General features: G+C 39.9%; 1 protein-coding gene and 1 pseudogene across 4 annotated transcripts in view, besides 3 other annotated features; one reads left to right on the forward strand and one right to left on the reverse strand.

The window, feature by feature from the left end:
• Positions 1–7,261, reverse strand: part of PPA2 (inorganic pyrophosphatase 2) — a 104,994-nt gene extending 97,733 nt beyond the window's left edge. For 3 of the 4 annotated variants that reach the window (NM_176867.3, NM_176866.2, NM_006903.4), the window contains exon 1: positions 7,085–7,261. In NM_176867.3, the coding sequence (NP_789843.2) occupies positions 7,085–7,241 (157 nt within the window). In that variant the 5' untranslated portion in view covers positions 7,242–7,261. The remainder of the gene's footprint in view (positions 1–7,084) is intronic. The other variant, NM_176869.3, reaches the window with a different exon arrangement.
• Positions 6,434–6,603: an enhancer, noted in NCBI's record as "active region_21780". NCBI's record gives its function as "activates an Ori minimal core promoter by ATAC-STARR-seq in GM12878 lymphoblastoid cells {active_cell/tissue: GM12878}" and the evidence as "EXISTENCE:reporter gene assay evidence [ECO:0000049][PMID:35858748]".
• Positions 6,894–7,013: an enhancer, noted in NCBI's record as "active region_21781". NCBI's record gives its function as "activates an Ori minimal core promoter by ATAC-STARR-seq in GM12878 lymphoblastoid cells {active_cell/tissue: GM12878}" and the evidence as "EXISTENCE:reporter gene assay evidence [ECO:0000049][PMID:35858748]".
• Positions 7,234–7,443: a silencer, noted in NCBI's record as "silent region_15608". NCBI's record gives its function as "represses an Ori minimal core promoter by ATAC-STARR-seq in GM12878 lymphoblastoid cells {active_cell/tissue: GM12878}" and the evidence as "EXISTENCE:reporter gene assay evidence [ECO:0000049][PMID:35858748]".
• Positions 17,817–19,567, forward strand: EEF1A1P9 (eukaryotic translation elongation factor 1 alpha 1 pseudogene 9; annotated as a pseudogene).

Consider the following 24,425-nt stretch of genomic DNA (forward strand, 5'->3'; position numbering starts at 1 on the left):
GCCTCCCAGCACTTGGGAAAGGGACCATGTGCAACGTGTTTACTGGAGTTGTACGCGTGTTCACTTGAGGTGTTCTTCCCTTACCAGTCGAATGTCCCTAGGAGGTCACATACCAAACTCTGCCATTTTGCCTCTTAGTGCAAACGCTTGAGCCCACTCACCCAGTTCCTGAGATCTCATGGGAAGCTGCTGATCACCAGCTTCAGGTGCTTCTGTTTATTTGGAGACTGCCTTTCCCTGGTGCAGGCTGCAACCAATTAATATTTTAGAGAAACAGTTAACAACTGCCTGACCATCACCTGATGTTTGCCTGTCATTCCTGGTGTGTGTTGAGGGAGGGGAGCCCTCTTCTGCCCTGCTCATGCCTGACTAGCTACCTACTGTAACAGAAGGAGTAATATTTGATATTGAATGGTCAGGGAAGATCTCTCTGGTGGGTAACAGTTCAGCACAGATCTGAATGAAGTGAGGGAAGAGATCAAGTAGACCTCTAGGGAGGAGCACTGAAGGCATAAAAAGCACAGGTGTGCAGAGGAAAGAACATACATGGCATGTCTGAGAAACAGCAAGGAGGCCAGGATGGCAGGAGGACACTGATCAAAAGGAAAAGTGGCAAGCAATGAATTCAGAGAGGAGCCCAGTATTAGATCCAGTAGGACCTTACATGCTATGGTACATATTTCAAAAAATTTTTTGAGTGAAATGGAAAGCCACTGGCATTTTCAGCAGAGCTTGTACATTATCTGACTTACATTTTAAAAGGATGAAGGTGATTGCTGTATGGAAAGTAGACTATACAGGGCTAAGGGTGGAAGCAGGGTGAAGAATCAGGAGGTTACAACTGATCAAGGGAAAGATGATGGTGAAACAGAAAGTGAGAAGGGTGGAAGTGGACAGAAGGAATTGTCTTTTGGTACATTTCAAAAAAATATGCTAATGAGTTAGCTGTGGGATAAGAGTAAAAGGTGACAAGAAGAATGCCCAGGTTATGGGTTAGCAACTAAAGAGAGAAACAAGTTCGGTGAGGGTGGGGAGTCAGGAGTTCTGTTTTGTGCTGTTAATCTTGAGTTGTATCTTAAACATTTAGGTAGAAATACAGAGTAGAAAGCTGGATGTGTAAATTCTGAGTTCAAGAAGAGATGCGGCTAATGTTATAAATTGGGGAATCATAAACAGCGTCTAACACTATGGGACCTGATGGGATCACCCAGAGCAACAGCAATGGTCAGCAAACTCTGGCTTTATGGGCCAAATCTGTCACATGGCCTGGTTTTATTTTTGTAAATATAGTTTTATTGGAACATAACCACAGTCATACTTTTACTGTCCATGGCTGTATGTTACAATGGCAGAGCTGAGTAGTTGTGACAGAGACTGAATGGTTCGCAAAACCTAAAGTATTCCTTATCCGGCCCTTTACAGAAAACTTTGCCAACACCTGCCCTAGAGAGGCAGTATAGATAGAGAAGTGGGCTGAGGATTGAGCCCTGGGCATTTCAAAGGCTAGAGTTCGGAAATATGACAAAGGTTCAGCAAGGGAGAATGTGAAGGAGAAGCATCAAAACTAAGACAAAGTGCATCCCAGAGGAAAGCAGTTTCCTCTGGGAAAGACAAAAAAAGTGTTTCAAAGAGAAAGTGATGAACTGTAAAAAGTACTGCTGATAGGTCATATGAGGACTTCAAACTGACCATTAAGGTCGCAGCATGGAGGTGACAGGTAGCCCTGACAAAAAGCAGTTGGTAGAACAGTAGCGATGAAAGCCTAAGTTAGGTGATCCTTGACTATTTGGTTTATATTAAAAAGACTAGAAAAAATCACTGGGAACTCTGTGTTCCCACAGAGATGAATGGGTAGGAGGCTGGCTGTTATGCTGGGGTCCCCAAATACCAGCATGCAGAGTACTGCTGGGGCACCAACACCATCAGGGGTCCTACTTCCCTCTCAGCTCTTCATTCACTTTTACAGTTGGAACTAACACAACCCTCATGCATTAGACCTGCATGGGAAACATTTGTGTACTATTTGTAGTACAACTTAAACTAATCCCCCTGTGTTAAGTTCTACATCCATCTAACTCTCTATCCTATCTTATATCAACACACCCACAACCTCTCTGAGGTTCTGCAGCAGCTCGGCTTTTCCCTAAACTACGTCCCCTGAACACATATACTTAAGCTGGGACTTCTTCCACACTGCTTCATTAATAACCATATCTCCATTGGTTTTTTAATCTTTTATACATATTTCAAAATCTCAAGCTTTGGTGGCTCCTTATCTGTTGTTTTAGGGTTACCCTTTCTTATCCTCACTTACTATCACTTTAATAGGATATTTATTATAGGGGAAAAGAGATAAATGATTGTAGTCACTGTGTCATTTTTGCCATGGTATTTCACTGTCGTCAAAAATCAGATTGTGTCCTTAGGCATTAATTGCTAACCTCTATCAGGCCCATCAATCTACACGATATTGCCAAACAGTGGTCAAAATTCTCCCTTCAACTGGTCTGAAATCAGATTTTATTCTAGCATTTTCTAAGTTATCTATGTGATTCTTTCTCTCACAAGAGCAAGTTGTATCAGGATGAAAGTTTATTACTTACACTAGAGCAAGTGAGAAAATTGAATGGAATGTGAAAACCATACCTAATTTTATGTATCTATACCAGACAGCTAAATGTATGCCATATACCAACATATGATTACACACGACTACAAAACCACTTATAGAGATTCTTACTGGAAGCTTCAGCAATGACTAAAGCTAACTTTGTTTTATTTTCTGATAAAAAGATTAAGAAATGTAAAGGAGCCTAAAAACTTCAATAAAAATGCTTCCTCTGTTCCATATAGATCACACAATTCCTATTTCACAGCACTGATATAGAAAACGTTTAAGGTTTTAAGGACTGAAAAATCAAATAAAATACTTTTTCTATATTCACACAAAACCCATTGTGTTCCATTATATCAGTTGAAGTTCTATGATATAGGCCAACTTTAAAAAGTTACAGAAACTCATATTTAAGACTCAAACAAATTTTGTGGATTATTCACGGGAAGTTCTCTTTTAAGTCCAAAGATACAGCACTTTCAATGGCAGATTCCTCCTACTACCCAAATGACATAAAGAAAACCTACAGTAATTTCAACACAAGCACATGCTTACTATAAGTGACAAAGCAAATTAATTTTAAAGAACTGCTTGGTTCATTCCCAGACTAAATAAAAGCAACTTGAATTATCCACAGCACTATTTCTCTAAGTAAACCAGTTGCCTATCCCATAATAACAAAATTCCTAATTATGGAAAGCATAGCTTTTCCCTATCCTATGAGAACAGTATGAAATCTAAAATAAAATTTCAAGTTATTAACGAAACAAAACAAACAAAAACACGCAAGATATCAAAGGAATACTGGCATGCAGCATTAGGTCTTTGGCTCAATATAAGTGAGTCTAACTTCATTATGATTTCACAGTTAATTTAAAAGACTGCAAGTACCCATTAAAACTTTAAGACCTAGGAAGCCGGGCACAGTGGTGCATGCCTGTAGTCCCAGCTACCCAGGAGACAGAGGTGAGAGGATCGCTTGAGCTGGGGAAGTCAAGGCTGCTGTGAGTCGTGATTGCACACTGTGCTCCAGCTTGGGCAAAAGTATGAGACCCCATCTCTAAACAAACAAACAAACCAAAAAAATAAAAATAAAATGAATAAACAACAACAACAAAAAACCTTCTGAAACCTATAAATTAACAGGAACACTTCAAAATAATCAATCACATCACCTTATTTTCTCCCTTCACAGAATCTAATAATAAGGATTTTAGTCTAATGTCTTAAAGTCAAAAGGGAAAAATAAATAACATTTATTAAATACCTATCACGTGTGAGACACTGATAATTACACACATAGTCTCATTTAACTGCCACAGCAATTCTATAAAATTACTAGTGCTATCCCCATTTTATTTACGGAGAAACTGAGCTACCGGATGTCATCTGAAGGTAAGGGATGCCTCTGGTTAATTCAGTCGAGTGACTTGTCCAAGACGGTAAAGTCAGGACTACAACTTAAGTGGTTTGACTATTAGTTTAGAACTGTTACAGCACAGTTGCTTCTGGAAGTTGCAGAAATCATAACCCTGATGTCACTAAGATGTTAACAAATGTTCTGAGAAATAAGTACTCTGTGGTTCAGTTTTTGGAGAAGTTACATCCGAATTTTCCAGAACTTAAATAGGCAAATTCTTCTTCAAAAAAGTAATAAAATGGGAAGTGTTCTAATTTATTAAACCATGAAACCCTCTGTTTTAACGAAAACCTAATAATATACCATGGGATGCTTGTGTTCAACTAAGCAGTCTGGAAAATGATCATCTGGTCCAATCTCCTCATTCCATGGTTTTAAAAAATGAGATGCAGGGAGGTGAAGTGACAGCAAGATACTAACAGGGTCAGGGCTGGCACCAAGGAGGCCTGATGATTCCCATCAGGATACCCTTTCCCCTAATCATCCTGTCTCACTCTTTCTACAAAGTTTAACACCAATTTTTTTTTAAGTATTACATCAATCATTTATTCTGATTTTACTGAATGACAGTAAAGAGAAACCATTTACAGACATGAAGCTCGAAAATGTTCTACCTCCCAATGCACTAGTATTTCAGAGACTTGGAATATATTTGGAGATGTGGAAAATGATTACACTTTAGTAACACTGAGTAACAATTTTAGGCCAAGTATACTACACTCATATTTTTTTTGAAGTGAGACATTAGTCCACCCTAGTACTGCATACAGACACACTGAGTAATAAATATCCAATCTGTGATCATCTTTATAAAGGGCAATTTATTCGTTGCTTTCCCCTTACCCCATTCGCCCTAGAGTGGCTTCGTTTCACTTTGCCCTACCCCTTCTAGCAGGTAGTAAACAGTCCTGGCCAGTGATGCCATCTGGCGGTTAGTTCAGAAATTGTTTAACCAACACACCTTCCAATCAGGATCTTACCATCGGGACCCTCTCCAAAACCACACTCCCCTTTCTTCCAGTTTTTGCCCATTTACCTTAGTAAAATCGGGTTTTCTTCTTTCCTGCCCTGTTTATCCAACTGAATGAAAAACGTATTTTATTTGTGGCACTCTAGTTACAGAAAAATCATGAGTCCTAAGTACATTTGCAGCTAAAGAAACAAACCAACAATAAGAGGCCAACATACTCCCAAAAATGCCCCCATTCGACATCCTGTCTTAACAGAGACTGTTAGAATCTCCGTTATTCATCCAATGCCTTCAGGGAATACCAGTGCTGAGAAGGACCTTGAGGATCATCGTTTCAAGGTCAAAAGCTTCATTTTACAGCTGAAGAAACTGGCTCTGTGAGAAAGAACTGAAGTAACCACCCACCCAACAGCACACAGCGAGTTAACGGCAGAGCCAAGATTATGGCCTAGGACTCCCCATTCCAAATCCGGTACTGGGTCAACTACTCTGTGCGCTCCTGGCTTCTCAAGCCTGTTTTTGCTCAACCAGTGTATTTACTTTTTCCATAATTATAGTAATATTGTGAATCTCTGTACTATGCCTAACAGTGTCTAGCACACTTCATAAATATTTATTATTTGGGTATCTATTAATTACCGTACTTATTGCAAATCTAGAATACTTGCAGTAGACAGGCCTTTTTTCAATCTGCTTAAAAAGCGAACTGCCACTTCATAATTTTTTCTGACTATTCCCATTAATCATCACATGGTAACCTTTTAGAACATAATCCATTCAGAAATTTGAGACTTCCTGTTCACCTGATCAGTCTTAACCAAAGATAGAAGAAAATATGTGGCATAGGGTGAAAACTGCAACCAATTTTGAAGAAAATAGAAATTCTAGTACTAGTTGCATTATAATCACACGACTTTAGGCAAACTCTTCTTTCCCACAAAATAATCCTCGACCCTAAACTCATGTAGCATAACTGCAAATCTCTCATAAATTACAAATATCTATAATGATTATCGGTATTAACAATAGTAATTTATATTTTAGGCCCTGTGACTAATCAGTTTACATATATAATGTCATGTAATACTTGCAGCCCTATTTTACGGATGAGAAAAAACAAGGCTTAGCAACTTAAACTCGTCCGGGGTCACAGAGTTAAGACGTGAAGAACTCGAGGGCCTGCTTAGAACTGAAAGCCTCCAGAGCCAGTGCTCCGAAAAGGGGAGCGATAATGCAAGGCCCACTTTGATACTACCACTCCAAGGCTCTGCAGTCAGTGGGGAGTGAAGGCAAGCGACCGACATCGCTATTTTCTGTTACGGTTAACGTACACAGTGAAACAATGGGGTACACGGAACAATGAGTCACGAAGACCTGGGTCCTTTCTCTGAGCTCGGCAACTCAGGGACCCCCCCGAAGTCGCTTAGCCTTCTGGGCTTGTTCAGCTTGGGGAGGAAAAGGGGCTGCTCCGGAACCAACGAGGCTTTGGATGGTGGATCACACTCAGGGTGTAAACTTGTGCGTACCAAGTCAAGCTTCTGGGGAAAGAACCTTCATCAGAGTCCCTCCAAAAAAAGAAGACGCGCTGGATTAGGCATCCGCAAAGTTCCGCCTGCCTCTCCGACGTCAGGGAGCTCCCGCAGTAGGAGGTTTCTTACGCCTCTAGGAAGGCCGGCGTGTGGGCGGGCTCTGCCTTCCCTTCCTCACTGAGTTGTGTGAACCGGGAACGGCGGCCGGGCCGGCTAATGGCTGCAGGCCGCCGCGGGGTGGCCGCTTGCACTCTGCCTACCCCTCGGGGAGGGCGGCTGGCAGGGCACAGGGCGCTATCTACCCCCCAGCCGGCAGCCCTGCGCCTCTGCTCTCCGCTTTGGGGTCTTGATCCGCCGCCTCCTCGCTGGCAGTTCTCGTGACTCGGTGCGCGCTCCCGCGGGAAGTAAGGTGGCCTGGACCGCGCGGCTACCGCTGAGGGCCCCAAAAAGAGAGAAGGGAGACCGCGCGGGGCGTCCCAAGTGTCCCCCATTCCATCCCCCACCCAGGTTTCTCCGGTGCGCCGCTCGGCGAACCTCCGGGAGCTACTTACTAAAGAAGAGGCGGTAATTCTGCGAGCAGGGCTGGCCGCGCTCCTCAGTGTGGTACAGGGCCATAGCACGGCGCGACCCGGTCCCTGCACTGGTCCCCAACCGCAGGCACGCAGCGGCTGGGGCACCCGTGCGCAGCAGCCGCAGCAGCGCGCTCATGGCGTCAATGACGGTCCTGCTGTGCGCGCGGAGCTACCTGGGGGCTCGGCCGGGCCGCACGCCGGTGCCCCCTACCGTCCGGAGTCATCCCTCCCGCCCCGGCGCTCGGGCTGCGATCCTGGTCCCTGCCAGTGGAATCTGGAACACCAGCCAGTTGTGCGCACTATGCCCTCAGCGAGGCCGCAGCTCAAAGACGAGTGAGACAAGACCCACCACCCCTGAAGAGCTCACTGCCACTCGTTAATTCATACATTTATTCATGCCTTCATTTATCCCGTCAAGAATTACTATCATGATTTTTTAGTATAGTGATGTAATATTGAGTGATTACTCTGTGCCAGGAACTGCTCTAGACCCTGTCCAATATAGGAGATGAGCGCACATGCACGCAAAGACATCACTATAAGACAAAATGATCAGGCCACCACGTGAAAACGGGACGTTGACACCGACTTACAGAGCAAAAAACCCTAAGTAGCTTACTCAAATGCCATCTTCTCCATAAGGCCATTTCCTAACCCAGTAGAGATTATTTATTCTTTCTTTTATTTTATTATTTTTTGTTGTTGTTTTGTTTTTGAGACGGAGTCTCACACTGTTGCCTGGGCTGGAATGCAATGGTACAATCTCGGCTCACTGCAACCTCCGCCTCCTGGGTTCAAGCTATTCTCCTGCCTTAGCCTCCTGAGTAACTGGGATTACAGGCATGCGTCACGACGCCTAGCTAATTTTTGTATTTTTAGTAGAGACAGTTTCCCCATGTTGGTCAGACTGGTCTCGAACTCCCGACCTCCATTGATCCGCCTGCGTTGGCCTCCCAAAGTCCTGGGATTACAGGCGTGAGCCACCGCGCATCGGCCAGGCGGGGTGGCACACACGCCTGTAGTTCCAGCTACTTGGGAGGCTGAGATAGGAGGATGGTTTGGGCCAGTATCCAGGAGAATGGATATTGTAGAACAACCAGTAGTCTGCCACGTGTCATTTTATTTTTTTCTAGTCCATCTTCTTTGGGACTATCATCATCTAGGCTACTTTCCTACTGGGCACCCAGGTTCTTTCAGCATCTCCAATTATCGTGTGATCATTAAAATTGAGATACTGGTCTACCCAAGTTCCAGAAAGGATTCCTAGGAGATATTGTGACTAGCTACTTAGAGACACTCTACTAAGATTATAGATCCTAAAATGTTTTTGTCAACAGTGGTACCTTTGTAATGTGTCAACTTGAATAGGCATAACTATAAGGCAAATGCTCCCATAAAAAGGAGAGAAAATCTCTTCTGTGCATATATCACAGAGTTGTATAATTTTTTTGTTTATGTTGAAAAAAAGCTTAATTTTTCTATTAACTTTTGAAGATTAGATATTTAAATAAGACAAATTCCTATGGAGGCAGGGTTGTAGGCTAATTTCTAATGATCTGTGGATACTTAAAGTATCCAGGCTGGGCGTGGTGGCTCATGCTTGTAATTCTAGCACTTTGGGAGGCCAAGGTGGGAGGATCACTTGATCCCAGGAGTTTGAGACCAGCAGTCTGGGCAACATGGTAAAACCCATCTCCATAAAAAGTACAAAAATCGGCCAGGCGGGGTGGCACACGCCTGTAGTTCCAGCCACTTGGGAGGCTGAGATAGGAGGATGGTTTGAGCCTAAGAGGCGGAGGTTGCAGTGAAGCCAAAATCATGCCATTGCACTCCAGCTTCTGCAGCAGAGCCACACCCTGTTTAAAAAAAAAAAAAAGTTATCTATTGAGATAATCCAGCATAAAGTTCTGAGGTCCCTCTTGCTAATAGCTTTTCTTAACTCTGGCAACATATTTTATTAGTAACTGACAACAAGTTATATGCATCCTGATTTGAAGAAACCAACAAAGATACTAAACGTTTCTGAATATAAATGTTTACTTAAAATGAAATCTTGACACTAACTTGTTATTTTGTAAATTGCATTGTAAAATGTTACCAAGTTATCATGCATTCAGAAAAGAAAACGCTGACTTTTGTTAAGTAGGTTTACATTTATTTTTAATCACTTAAATTTCCATCTTTCATTCTCTACAGTTTACTGGAATATTTGAGAATCAAAATTAAAAATGCATAATATAAATGATAGGAAATAATAATAGGTATCAGGTTAGCTTTTAAAACTTTTTAAAAATACTCTGAGGGTAATGTTTATTACATAATGTTTAATTATGTACTTATTCAAATTTAGACGTTTGGAGTCTAACACGTTGGATTTCCATTATTGACATCTCCTGTTGTCATCATATAGCAAGTAAAAGTCTTAGTCCCAGGAGTTTACAAGTTGGAGAATAAAGACAAATACACATAAAATCATGAAATAACATTTCCAGAGTTTATGAAATACCAAACCACCAGAGATTCATCAACAGAGAATTGAAACTGGTGGCTCAGGAAAACTATAACTAATATGTAGGAAGGACCAGAATAGAAAATAAGAGATACGGTGTCCAGGTATTGACAGTATCTCAGGTACCAAGTGACAAGGACCCAGACAGTAGTTCTGGCAATAGAAATAGAAAGGAATGTTGAATTTGGAAGAAATGACCAAATTTGATATCTCACTGGAAGTTGTGAAATGAGGATGGAAGAGTTAAAAAAAATTATGCATAATAAATAACCAAGAGATATGTGGTGTTATTTTCAGATATATGTTAATAAAAATGAGAGAGAAATTTTGACACTAAGATGATAAACGTAGCTGGGACATGTTAAGTTTGAAACAATGCAGAGTTCCTGCTGGAGATGGAACTATTTTCACCACTGGAATTCTCTGAGAAGCAGACTCTGAGATTGAATTTAGTATGTGTGTGCAGTGTTTATTAGGCTGTACACTTGGGATCAGTATGTGAAGATGAAGGTAAGAAAGCAAAAGAGCTGAGAGAGAAGTCGAGCTGTGGTGCAAGCCCAATAGCCTCAGCCCACCTCATAGAATACCCTGGAGTTTAAAAGGCTAGTTACAGTTGTCCAATGGAGAGCACAATTTGACGGGCCTTTATAACCTCAATGATTGGATGGATATAAGCTGACCTGGGAAAGGACATGATTTGGACAAGGCAGCTATGGCCATCCCTGAAGAAGCTGACAGATAAATGCTATTTGTTACCTGTACTCCCAACAGTTCAGCAAAAGTTCATTAAGCCATGGCACATCACAGTGACTACCACAACTGTGAAACTGCAGTAAAGATAATAGTTGGAACTAGAGAAAAATTATATAATTAGTGAATTCCAGTTCTGTTTCTGTTTTTAGTATTGGTAAGCATAACACAAAATCTACCATGATTATGGTTATTGTTTTTTGCAATGCTAGATTATCCTAATAGAAAATAAAATAATTTTGAAATTGTGGAGTACTCATTTATGTGTTTACTTTTATAAAAGCAGTAAATGTCCCTAAAACGAATTATTATTATTACCTACAACATGATAAATAAGCAAATTAAGAAATTTGCTAATTGCTCATCTTTGCTCACAATAGCTAGCTTGTGGGGGGAAAGAAATAGAGCAGTATGCAATAGAAGTAATGAGAATTTTAAAACAATTTTGAATATTTTCTAATTAATCAGTTCAGAGACACACAGACTGATATTTCACTAGCCTTTGGAAGACTTTAACCACAAGGGAGACTTTAAAAATAATTTTCACATTACCAAACATTTAAAATATTTGTCAAATTACAAGATTTCCACAATATTTCAGAATGTTACCTAAAGTTCATGTTCATCCGATATTCATCAACCACATTTTTTTCTAATAAATACATGTCACAGTTCTATACCATTTCTCATTTAAATACTGGCAATTATCTATTGATAAAATTATTTTCACAATTCAATGAAACTATAAGAGCTTGACTAACTTTAGGCCTTAAAATGTGTATAGGTGTGTATGTGTGTGTGTATTTTTATTGCTGTAGTTAATTTATTTTTCTTACTAAAACAATGATGCTTCAAGATGAGAAAACATGTCATAGACTGAAAGAAAATATTTGCAAAATATGTGTCTGATAAAGGACTATTATCAAAATATACAAAGAACTGTTGAAACTCAAGAAAAAGAAAACTAACCAATTTAAAAAATAGGCGAAAAGCCATCAGCAGTGGACTGGACAAACAAAATGTAGTACAGCTACACCATGGAATACTGTGCAGCCATAAAAAGAAGGAAATCATGTCCTTTGCAGCAACACAGATGGAAACCATTATCCTAAATCAATTAATGCAGGAACAATAACAACAACAAAAACAAATACTGCATGTCCTCATAAGTGAGAGCTAAACATTGAGTACACATGGACATAAAGAAGGGAATAACAGACATCAGCGCCTCTTTGAGAGTGGAGAGTGGATGGGAAGGTGAAACCCATAAACTACCTATCAGGCACTATTTCCTGGGTGATGAAATAATCTGTACACAAATCCCCATCTCACACACACACACACACACACACACACACACACACAGTTTTAATTTGTGACTGCCAAAATTTGGTGCAACCAGGATGTCCTTCATTAGGTGAATGGATAAACTATGGTACATTCAGACAATGAAATATTATTCAGCACTAAAAAGAAGTGAGCTATTAAGCCATGAAAAGACATGAATAAACCTTAAATTTATATTACTAAGTGAAGAAAACAAATCTAAAAGGCTACATACTGTATGATTCCAGCTGTATGACATTCTGGAAAAGGTTTAAGTGTGGAGACTGTAGAAGCCTCAGTGGTTTCCAGGGGTTAGAGAAGAGTGAGGGATGGATAGATGGAACCCAGGGAATTTTTAGGACAGTGAAACTGCTCTGTATGATACTCTACTTGTGGATATATATTATTATACATTTGTCCAAATCCACAGAATGCAGAACACCAAAAATGAAACCTAATGTAAACTAAGGAATTTGAGTAATAATGAGTTGTCAATGTAGGTTTGATTATAATAAATGTACTGCTCTGGTGGAGAATGTTGATAGTAAGGGATGGTGAGGAGGTGTGTGTAGGGTATGGAAAATAAAGGAAATCTCTGTACCTTCTGTGCAATTTTATTGCGAACCTAAAACCACTCTAAAAAGTAAAGCCTATTTAAAAACAACAACAATAAAAACAAACTATTATAGGAAATGACTTGCATTCAGAAACTATGAACCAATATGTAGTATTGATAATTTGATATAGAAAAGTTTTCCTTTTCTTTTCTCTTGCATTAACTGTATTTTCCATAAACACATTTTCTTTTCATCTAATGAAAATCATTGTTCTATTTTAACTTCCTATCTGAATGTCAGGGTGGCATTAGTACCTTTACATGCCCCATTTATAACAGGCATCTGTTCTTAACCTGAATTGCCATTGCTTGAGCATCAGTACACACTGCCTCTTCTGCAGTCGTTTGAAAAATCATTAATCATTTTATGTTAAATGGAACTAGGCTCCCCTGAGGGCCTTCTATGGATAGTTTTACTCTTTCAGAGATTCTAACATATCTTTCTTTATTATTATTGAGAAAAATTTGTATAATTTTATTTTTAAGCAAATGTCCTTTCTAATTTTCATTTTGTAGACTTTAACCTGTCTCCTTCACCATCCCCACCTCTACTAACTTAATGAACAAAGCTTAAAACCTCAGAGGTCCTTTTATGAAAAGTTTCTGAACACCTAATTTGAAATATCAAAATTCTTTTTTCAACATAGGCAACTATTAAATAGCAACTAATTTTAGCTCCCAATTTCAAGGCCACTTAATATAAATAGGCTGAGTTTCTGAATGAGGCAATGGTTCACTAGTAATCATTTTCTCATGTTTCTTAGATCTCATATATTCCTGACAGATCCATACCTGTATGATAATTTAGTAGGATGTCTTTGGTGAAAGCTCTTTAAAAGACTGCTCAACTCAAATATTGGAACATAGTTCTAGGTACCTTAAATGAAGAAAATACATATTTGGTATAGTGAAAAAGAGATTTCTAATGGGCCTGATGCCTCTAACCACCTGGAAGAGAGCAAATGGTGGGTCTCAAACTCAATTTTGGTGGTTCAGGCTTAAAAATGCCTAACAGCAAACAGTGAATTTTGTTTTATTTTTGGAAGTGACATTATTTCAAGTTATTTTCCTGACTTTCCACTACTAGAAGAGTCCCTGAGAACAAATACATTTGTTTTAAAGCAATTCTTAATTAGCTGCTTAGAGGAAGATGCTGTGAGCTGCCAACTCTACAATTCTTTCAACAGTCAGAAGAAGCCTTGACCTAGGATGAGGCCAGGAACAAGGCTGGAGAAAGCAAATTGGAGAGCTGATGTGTTCCCGTACACCTGTTCCTAAACCCAGAAGCCTTAAAAACTAAGACTCAGGTGACAAATTTCTTATTCTACCATTTCACTCACCAAAAAGTGACAAGAGGACAAATATCAAGATAATTCTTTGAAGAGTTTGTGTCCATCTGGAGGGAGGGAACAAAAAACCTTGTCACAGCTTTTTATTTTGATTTGAAGACAGCTTGTCTGGTGGAGCTGAATGATAGGTATTTGGGGAGTGAGAGAGACTTTGAGAAAGGAACAGAAAAGCTTACAATGGATTTTAGGGAAGTTTTACTGTATATGGTAAAATGCAGCTCTTTTCTAACACTCCCTTTGAAGCCTGCAGAGCCTTCAATATTACTCATTAGTGCTTTTGGAGTTAGTCTTGTGTTTTCAGGAAGATGTAATATATTGAGACTGGCCTCCATGTGGTTCAGATACATGAGGGTTACATGCACATTTAAACAATCACCCATAAACTGTATGGGCAAATACAGAACTTGCATTTAATTTTAAGAAATAAGCATAAATCTTCAAAGAAATTTAAGATTCAAGGAGTCATTGGGTCAGAGCCCCCAAAGAGGCATTTTTGGAAATTGTCAGGGTGTTTCTGATGTCACAATAATTGAGGAGCATTATTTCTATTTAGTATGTAGGGACCAGGGATGCAGCACACCCTGTAATACTCAAAAGACAGCTCTACACAAGAAAGAGTTGTGTGTGCACATTGCTCTCAGATGTCACATCAGAAATTTGTGTAGGTGAAAAATGCCTGTTTTTTAAAAATATGTATCTCAGCCTAAAAACTGTCATTTTGCAAATAAACACCAAGTTTTTTTTTGCATTGTTTTTATATGTGCATGCTATTTGAGTCACTAATACTACATACTATCGATCTGCATTTATAGCTCTCAGTTCCTGGTGGTTGTACATTGAGATGCAAATGTTAAGATTGCTTTATATGTCTTTATATGTCTATTTTTCTCCATCATACCTTCTTATATTTTTTGTAACAGCACTATTACAGTTTTTAATCCTATCAATAGATTTATGTGATTGTTTAATGTCTGAATCCTTTACTAGATTCTAATCACCAGAAGGGCAGATAAGTTTCCCATTTTTTTAATCATTCTGTATCAGTCACTATCATTCCCCCTGACACAGTGCCTACTTAGTGAAGATTAGTCAAATGAATGAAGGGTTGAGTAAAAGAGGGAGGGAAAACAAGAATCTTCTTTCTAAAAACATATATTTTTTTTTTGAGATGGAGTGTCGCTCTGCTGCCCAGGCTGGATGGAGTAGAGCGGCACGATCTCGACTCACTGCAAGCTCCGCCTCCTGGGTTCACGCCATTCTCCTGCCTCAGCCTCCCGAGTAGCTGGGACTACAGGCGCCCGCCACCATGCCCATCTAATTTTTTTGTATTTTTAGTAGATACGGGTTTCACCGTGTTAACCAGGATGGTCTCGATCTCCTGACCTCGTGATCCGCCCGCCTCGGCCTCCCAAAGTGCTGGGATTACAGGCATGAGCCACCGCGCCCGGCCCTAAAAAAATAATTTTCAAGCAGAAAAGACTTCTCAGCCAGGTGCAGTGGCTCACGCCTGTAATCCTAGCACTTTGGGATTAGCTGTCTTAGTGGTGCCTGCCTGTAGTCCCAGCTACCTAGGAGGCTGAGCAGGGAGAATCACTTGAACCCAGCAGGCAGAGATTGCAGTGAGCTGAGATCATACCATCGCACCCCAGTCTGGGTGACAGAGTGAGACCGTGTCTCAAAAAAAAAAAAAAAGGAAAAGGAAAAGAAAAACTTCTCAGCTGCTGAGCTCCTAACCCTTCTCATCACACGCATCATCAACCAAAATTATGAACCATTCTACATTATTTCTGGGGGGCCCTGAAATTCTTTTTTGGTGTGGGCATGAGGTCTAATATAAATAAAACATGTTCATATTTTCTTGCAATGAATTACATAAGATTTATTTTAAGGAATTGCCTTTGGAACCCAGGGTTCTTTTGAATCCAATTTGAGATCCATTATTCCATGTAATTAGAATATGTATAAAAGAGAAAAAAATAGTTCTACAGTTAAACCATTTAAAAACAAAATTAATTCCCACTGCTGAAGGCCTAAAGGGGAAATCTAGAAAATGGGCAGAGAAACTGGGTTGTATCATTAGATTTTGTTCAGGACCTATTATTACCAATTTAGTAGCTCAACCCTTGAATTGAAGTACTATATTTATAATATTACAAGGGATTTATACGGTATCATTTGGAGCTGAAATTTCTCATGATTATTTTAGCCTAGAAGCAGTAATACTACTTAATCAAGTAAAACATTCTGTTTTTTTCATGTCGTTTAACAATGCATAGTAAATCATATGTGATTCTTCTATGACAGATAAATTTTATGTCTAATTTCATCAATATCTAGAAAGACTAAAAGCTTAAGACCAAATATATTCTTCATGTCATTTGGACTTAGTTGAAATCAACATAATTGTATTCTTTCCTATTTCCAAGGAGTATATGGGCCTCAGGACATGAGCTTATTTTCACATAGAAAAAATCAATCAGAAAAGAAAATTCTACATGACAACCACTCCTTTTATTTTTCAGACAAGGGGTAATAAAATTAATTTCTCATTTTTCAACCAATTAAGTTTCTATTCTCTAGGTCAGTCTGTTTCTTGGACCATTTGTTTCATTGAAATTTGGATCAAAATTTATTTTAAAATAAGGAGGAAAAATGTTGTTAGATAAGAAGTAAAGGATAGTGCTCACTTCAGCAGCACATATACTAAAATTGGAAAGAAGTAAAGGATAGATCTCTTTAATCATGACAGTCTTAAAGAGGAATCCAATGCACCAACATAGTTGCTTTTTGTTTTGTTTCATTTGCATCACCCTGCATTATTCTCCTATTTAGCTCTGCTTAACCACTTCTGCCAAGGTATTCCTAAGGGCAAAGGAAAAAGAATGTATGCCCCTTCTGTTTGCTAGGTGTTTGTGATTCTGAGGCAGAGTTTCGGGGGTCAGTGAACCTGGATTTTATTTAAAAGATTACATTTTTATTTTCACTAACTTCTAACTAAAATATAGCATTTATGAATGTAGGCAACAAACCCTGTAGCAGTGTTAATATTATAGTGCCTATGATTTGTGCCTCCAACAGAAATGGCATGTAATCCAGATGTTGCAGATGACTCTATCATTTACACCCATCACTACTTCAAAATTATGGTAGTTATACCTGCTGCTAGATCTAGTCATTTAGGTCCTCAGTGAAGAAGCATGTTATTAGATCACAAAATTATTTTCTAAAATCTTTTTGTAAATATAATTCAATATCATGAGTTTCTTCTTCATATAATTTATGGATTTACAAACGGCATTTTGAGAAGGGTTTCATAGGCCTAATAAGGCTGCCCATGGGATGCATGAAACAAAAGTCATCAAGAACCATAAAGCAGTTATTTTCAACCTTATTAGACCTAACTTTCTCCTCTTTAAAAAATTGAGGTGAAATTCACATCATATACAATCAACTATTTTCGAGTGTACTATTTAGTGGTACTTAGCATAGTCACAATATTGTACAACTGCCACTTCCTTCTAGTTTCAAAACATTTTCATCATCCCAGAAGAATACCTCATATCCTTTAAGTAATCACTTCCTGTTCCCCCCTGCCACCCGCTGACATCCACTAATCAGCTTGCCTATTTTGGATATTTCACATAAGAGGAATCATATGACATGCGGCTTTTTGTGTCTAGTGTCTTTCACTTAGCATAATGCTTTTGGTGTCCATCCACATTCTAGAATATATGAAACCTTCATTCCTTTTTATGCCTGAATAATATTTCATTGTATATCATTGTACGTTATGATTTGTTTATCACACTCAACAATAAAAAGGCAACCTACAGAATGGGAGAAAATTTTTGCAATCTAGCCATCTGACAAAGAGTTAATATCCAGAATCTACAAAGAACTTAAACAAATTTACAAGAAAAAACAGACAACCCCATCAAAAAGTGGGTGAAGGATATGAACAGACACTTCTCAAGACACTTACGCAGCCAACAAATATATGAGAACAGACACTTCTCAAAAGAAGACATTTATGAGGTCAAAAAACATTAAAAAGAGCTCATCATCACTGGTCATTGAGAAATGCAAGTCAAAACCACAATGAGATACCATCTCACGCCAGTTAGAATGACGATCATTAAAAAGTCAGGAAACTTTTTTGTTTTTTTCTCAATGGGTTTGCCACCAGAACACAGGTATCGTGAAAACTACCCCTACCTATAAGCCAGAACGAGAAAGGAAAAGACTCATATCAACACTGTGATCATCGGACACGTAGATTCGGGCAAGTCCACCACTACTGGCCATCTGATCTACAAATGCGGTGGCGTCGACAAAAGAACCATCGAAAAATTTGAGAAGGAGGCTGCTGAGATGGGAAAGTGCTCCTTCAAGTATGCCTGGGTCTTGGATAAACTGAAAGCTGAGCGTGAACATGGTATCACCATTGATATCTCTTTGTGGAAATTTGAGACCAGCAAGTACTATGTGACTATCATTGATGCCCCAGGACACAGAGACCTCATCAAAAACATGATTACAGGGACATCTCAGGCTGACTGTGCTGTCTTGATTGTTGCTGCTGGTTTTGGTGAATTTGAAGCTGGTATCTCCAAGAATGGGCAGACCCGAGAGCACGCCCTTCTGGCTTACACACTGGGTGTGAAACAACTAATTGTTGGTGTTAACAAAATGGATTCCACTGAGCCACCCTACAGCCATAAGAGATATGAGGAAATTGTTAAGGAAGTCAGCACTTACATTAAGAAAATTGGCCACAACACCGACACAGTAGCATTTGTGCCAGTTTCTGGTTGGAATGGTGACAACACGCTGGAGCCAAGTGCTAACATGCCTTGGTTCAAGGGATGGAAAGTCACCCGTAAGGATGGCAATGCCAGTGGAACCACGCTGCTTGAGGCTCTTGACTGCATCCTACCACCAACTCGTCCAACTGACAAGCCCTTGTGCCTGCCTCTCCAGGATGTCTACAAAATTGGTGGTATTGGTACTGTTCCTGTTGGCTGAGTGGAGACTGGTGTTCTCAAACCTGGTATGGTGGTCACCTTTGCTCCAGTCAACGTTGCAACAGAAGTAAAATCTGTTGAAATGCACCATGAAGCTTTGAGTGAAGTTCTTCCTGGGGACAATGTGGGCTTCAATGTCAAGAATGTGTCTGTCAAGGATGTTCGTCGTGGCAACGTTGCTGGTGACAGCAAAAAGGACCCACCAATGGAAGCAGCTGGCTTCACTGCTCAGGTGATTATCCTGAACCATCCAGGCCAAATAAGTGCTGGCTATGCCCCTGTATTGGATTGCCACACGGCTCACATTGCATGCAAGTTTGCTGAGCTGAAGGAAAAGACTGATCGCCATTCTGGTAAAAAGCTGGAAGATGGCCCTAAATTCTTGAAGTCTGGTGATGCTGCCATTGTTGATATGGTTCCTGGCAAGCCCGTGTATGTTGAGAGCTTCTCAGACTATCCACCTTTGGGTCGCTTTGCTGTTCATGATATCAGACAGACAGTTGCGGTGGGTGTCATCAAAGCAGTGGACAAGAAGGCTGCTGGAGCTGGCAAGGTCACCAAGTCTGCCCAGAAAGCTCAGAAGGCTAAATAAATATTATCCCTACTACCTGCCACCCCACTGTTAATCAGTGGTGGAAGAATGGTCTCAGAACTGTTTGTTTCAATTGGCCATTGAAGTTTAGTAGTAAAAGACTGGTTAATGATAACAATGCATCATAAAACCTTCAGAAGGAAAGGAGAATGTTTTGTGGACCACTTTGGTTTTCTTTCTTTGCATGTGGCAGTTTTAAGTTATTAGTTTTTAAAATCAGTACTTTTTACTGGAAACAACTTGACCAAAAATTTGTCACAGAATTTTGAGACCCATTAAAAAAGTTTAATGAAAAAATAAAATAAAATAAAAAATTAAAAGTTAGGAAACAACAGATGCTGGAGAGGATGTGGAGAAATAGGAAAGCTTTTACATTGTTGGTGGGATTGTAAATTAGTTCAACCATTGTGGAAGACAGTGTGGTGGTTTCTCAAGGATCTAGAACCAGAAATATCATTTGACCCAGCAATCCCATTACTGGGTATATACCCAAAGGATTATAAATCATTCTACTGTAAAGACACATGCACACGTATGTTTATTGCAGCACTGTTCACAATAGCAAAGACTTGGAACCAACCCAAATGCCCATTAATGATAGACTGGATAAAGAAGATGTGGCACATATACACCATGGAATACTATGCAGACATAAAAAAGGATGAGTTCATGTCCTTTTCAGGGACCTGGATGAAGCTGGAAACCATCATTCTCAGCAAACTAACACAGGAACAGAAAACCAAACACCACATGTTCTCACTCATAAGTGGGAGTTGAACAATGAGAACACTTGGACACAGGGAGGGGAACATCACACACTGGGGCCTGTCGGGGGTGGGGGTGCTAGGGGAGAGAGAGCATTAGCAGAAATACCTAATATAGATGACGGGTTGATAGGTGCAGCAAACCTCCGTGGCACGTGTATACCTATGTAACAAACCTGCACATTCTGCACGTGTATCCCAGAACTTAAAGTAAAAAACAAAACAAAAAAAAGACAATATAAATTTTTAAATGAACAATGGATTTAAATAGATGTTCCTTCAAAGAAAATATACAAATGGTCAACAAACACATAAACAGATATTTAACTTCATTGGTCATTAAGGAAATACAAATCAAAAGAAGATACCAAAACCAAACTGCAACAACAACTAATGAGATAAAACTGCATGGCCACTAGGATGGCTACAATAATCAAAAACAAATAAAAAATAGGCATGGAGAAACACAAACTCTCGGGCATTGCTGGTGGGGATATAAAATGGTGCAGCTGCTGTGGAAAACGTTTTGGTGGTTCCTAAAAAAGCTAAACATAGAATTGTCATATGACCCAGCAATTCCTCTTCCAGGTATAGACTACAGAGAAATGAAAACATACAACATATATCCACACAGAAACTTATATATATCAATGATTATAGCAGCATTATTCCTAATGCCCAAAAGAAGTAAACAACCTAAGTGTCTATCAACAAATGAATGGATAAATAAAACTTCCATTTTAATAGAAAATCTTTTGTAACAGCTTTTTTATTCTTCCAAAATGAAACTGATAGATAATAAAACCTACTACACTCAAAATCTTCAAAAAATCAACATAATGCCTAACTATTAAGGAAGGTATAAAAAATTTGTAATAAAACTGTATGTATGAAATAAAACTCTATGTTCAATATGCAAATGTGTAGGCACCAGTCATATGGGGGCAGTTAAAATAATACAGGGAAGGGATCTTACTGTGTGGACATCTCATGATGTAAACAGCATACTCACTGCTAAAGGAGACTTGTGGCTGTCAGACAACCATTTGCTTAAATACCAGACTCTATTAATTGAAGGGCCAGTGCTGTGACTGCGCACTTGTGCAACTCTAACCCAGCCACATTTCTTCCAGGTAATGAAGAAAAGATAGAACATAACTGTTCAACAGGTGATTGCTCAAACCTATGCTGCTCGAAGGGACCTTCTAGAGGTTCCCTTGACTGATCCCGACCTCAACTTGTATACTGATGGAAGTTCCTTCATAGAAAAAGGACTTTAAAAGGTGGGGTATGCAGTGGTCAGTGATAATGGAATACTTGAAAGTAATCCCCTCACTCAGGAACTAGTGCTCAGCTGGCAGAACTAATAGCCCTCACTTGGGCACTAAAATTGGGAGAAGAAAAAAGGGTAAATATATATACAGACTCTAAGCATTCTTACCTAGTCCTCCATGCCCACGCAGCAATATGGAGAGAAAGGGAATGCTTAACTTCCGAGGGAACATCAGGAAGCTATTAGGAGATTATTATTGGCTGTACAGAAACCTAAAGAGGTGGCAGTCTTACACTGCTGGGGTCATCAGAAAGGAAAGGAAAGGGAAATAGAAGGGAACCACCAAGCGGATATTGAAGCCAAAAGAGCCGCAAGGCTCTTTAGCATTTAGAAATGCTTATAGAAGGACCCCTAGTATGGGGTAATCCCCTCTGGGAAACCAAGCCCCAGTACTCAGCAGGAGAAATCGAATGGGGTACCTCACGAGGACATAGTTTCCTCCCCTCAGGATGGCTAGCCACTGAAGAAGGAAAAATACTTTTGCCTGCAGCTAACCAATGGAAATTACTTAAAACCCTTCACCAAACCTTTCACTTAGGCATTGATAGCACCCATCAGACGGCCAAATTATTATTTACTGGACCAGGCCTTTTCAAAACTATCAAGCAGATAGTCAGGGCCTGTGAAATGTGGCAAAGAAATAATCCCCTGCACTTCAGGCCATACATTTCAATCCCTGTATCTTTAACCTCCTTGTTAAGTTTTTCTCTCCCAGAATTGAAACTGTAAAACTACAAATGTTCTTCAAATGGAGCCCCAGATGCAGTCCATGACTAAAATCTACCATGGACCCCTGGACTGTCCTGCTAGCCTATGCTCCGATGTTGATGACATCAAAGGCACCGCTCCTGAGGAAATCTCAACTGCACAACCCCTACTATGCCCCAATTCAGCAGGAAGCAGTTAGAGCGGTCGTCGGCCAACCTCCCCAACAGCACCTGGGTTTTCCTGTTGAGAGGGGGCACTGAGAGACAGGACTAGCTGGATTTCTAGGCTCACTAAGAATCCCTAAGCCTAGCTGGGGATTGGAAGGCATCACTTTTGCTGGAAGACCTACAGACAATATAAAGAGTTTTTTTTTTTCTTTCAGTTGCAAGATTAAATAGAGTTAAAACAGAGCTCCCATACAAAGGGAGGGGACCCAAAGGGGGTAGCTGTTGCTGGCTTGAATGCCTGGGTTTATATCCTGATCATTGTTCCTCCCCCTGTGCTCTCAGGCAATAATGAGTAATGAAGGAAACATGCTTAAATAAGCCCCATAAATCTCCACCTTATTTGTCTACTACTTTCCTTCATTACTTCTTAGGGAAATTGATATGGTAGACATTAATTGGTGTGATTGCCTGGCTCACAGTGATTCCCCAGTCATCAGTCTCTGGTGCTCCTTATCTTTGAATGGGGTTGCTGATTCTTTTATCCCCATTTCCATTCTAGCATATGGTCCAATGCAAACTATATGCTCTTGTCTCCAGGGCTGGGGGAGGATGAACATGGGCTCATAACTCAAGCTAGGTGCTATGGTCTGAGTATTTGTGTCTTCCCAAAATTCCTGTATTGAAATCCTAACTCCCAAGGTGATGGTATTAGGAGTTAAGGCCTTTTGAGAGTTGATTAGGTCATGAGGGCAGAGCCTTCATGAATGGGATTAGTGCCCTTATAAAATAGGGCCAAGTGAGCTTGTTTGTTCCTTTTACCATGTGAGGACACAGCCAGAAGATACCATCTGTGAGCCGGGAAGCAAGCCCTCACCAGACACTGAATATGCTGGCACTTTGATCTTGGACTTCCCAGACTCCAAAACTGTGAGAAACATATTTCTACTCTTCATAAGCCACCCAGTTTATGGTACTTTGTTATAGCAGCCCAAACGGACTAAGATACTAGGCCAATCAGTGTCCTTCCTGGGATTTTTAAAACTGGAGCAGTAAGTAGTAAAGATGTGAGTCTAGAAGTACCAGCAGCCATTCCCTGCCCTCCACAATATGAGGAAACCTGTGCAACAAAGAAAAGCAGAAACAGCAAGAGGCACAGAGTAAGTCCTAACAGCATTCAAGTCCTTAGTTCCAGTTATTGAAATTTCTGGAACTATCCTAAGCCCTACCTTTCCAAGAGGGAGTTATTTAATCTTGCATTAACTCTGGGGGCTTCACCAGCACCCTTCCAAAACACTCTTTTTATTGCCCAATTTTGGTTGGGTTTCTTTCACTCACAACAAAGAATTCTAACTTCTTAGGAAATGAATAACCATCTTGGATTCAAACAAGCAGTGTGAGGGTCCAGAGTCATCAGAGCCCCAGCCTTTGTCTCTGCCACACTTACTGCCAGAAATTGTCCCCATTTTGCACAGTAAAAACTAACGTGAATCCTAAGGCTCCTGTCTGTAATAAGCTCCTTATTTTGGAAGAGAGGAATGGTTATTTACTGTTTTTTTTTTCCCCCTAGTAGCACTGAAATCATTCTTAATTTTCAGTTCTTTCATTGTTTTCTCTTTTAGTGACTTTAGCTTTTTAGAGGAGTTCTCAGTATGGCATGCATTCTTCCACAAGTTAACAATCATTACCCAAACCAAAACTAATGGATAAGCAATTTCTCCTCAGATACCTGAGCAATCTTTTGATTTTGTTTTTTCTGTTAAGAGTATCTGTGGGAAGAAAATAAAGAGTTATATTCTCTTTCCAAAGCCTGAAACCTATCTGAGGAACCCACTAACCAAGGATAAGAGAATTCTGCTTGTTGGGGTTTTGACTTAGTTGGTAGCAGGGAGTAGACAGAGATAGGGATAGATTTATATCTTCATCAGCTGTAATTTCCCAAATATGAACTGGTGCCTTCCATCACAACCCTGCTGTTTGGTCTTGTAATCTGGAATCCACTAATGTAATCTCACTTGTCAATGTCTATAGAATTAACCTCATAGGTTAAGGTGACCTCTAAGGTTTAAAGGTGAGAAGAGAGAGTGGGGCACAAAAATATACCATATTTATGAAAATTAGGTCGTTCATTCTGGCTACTTTGGGCTAATTCTCTTCAGGTGTGATTAGTGACTCACTGCTAAGG

This window comes from Homo sapiens, chromosome 4, assembly GCF_000001405.40.
Source record: "Homo sapiens chromosome 4, GRCh38.p14 Primary Assembly".
NCBI classification, from domain to species: domain Eukaryota; kingdom Metazoa; phylum Chordata; class Mammalia; order Primates; family Hominidae; genus Homo; species Homo sapiens.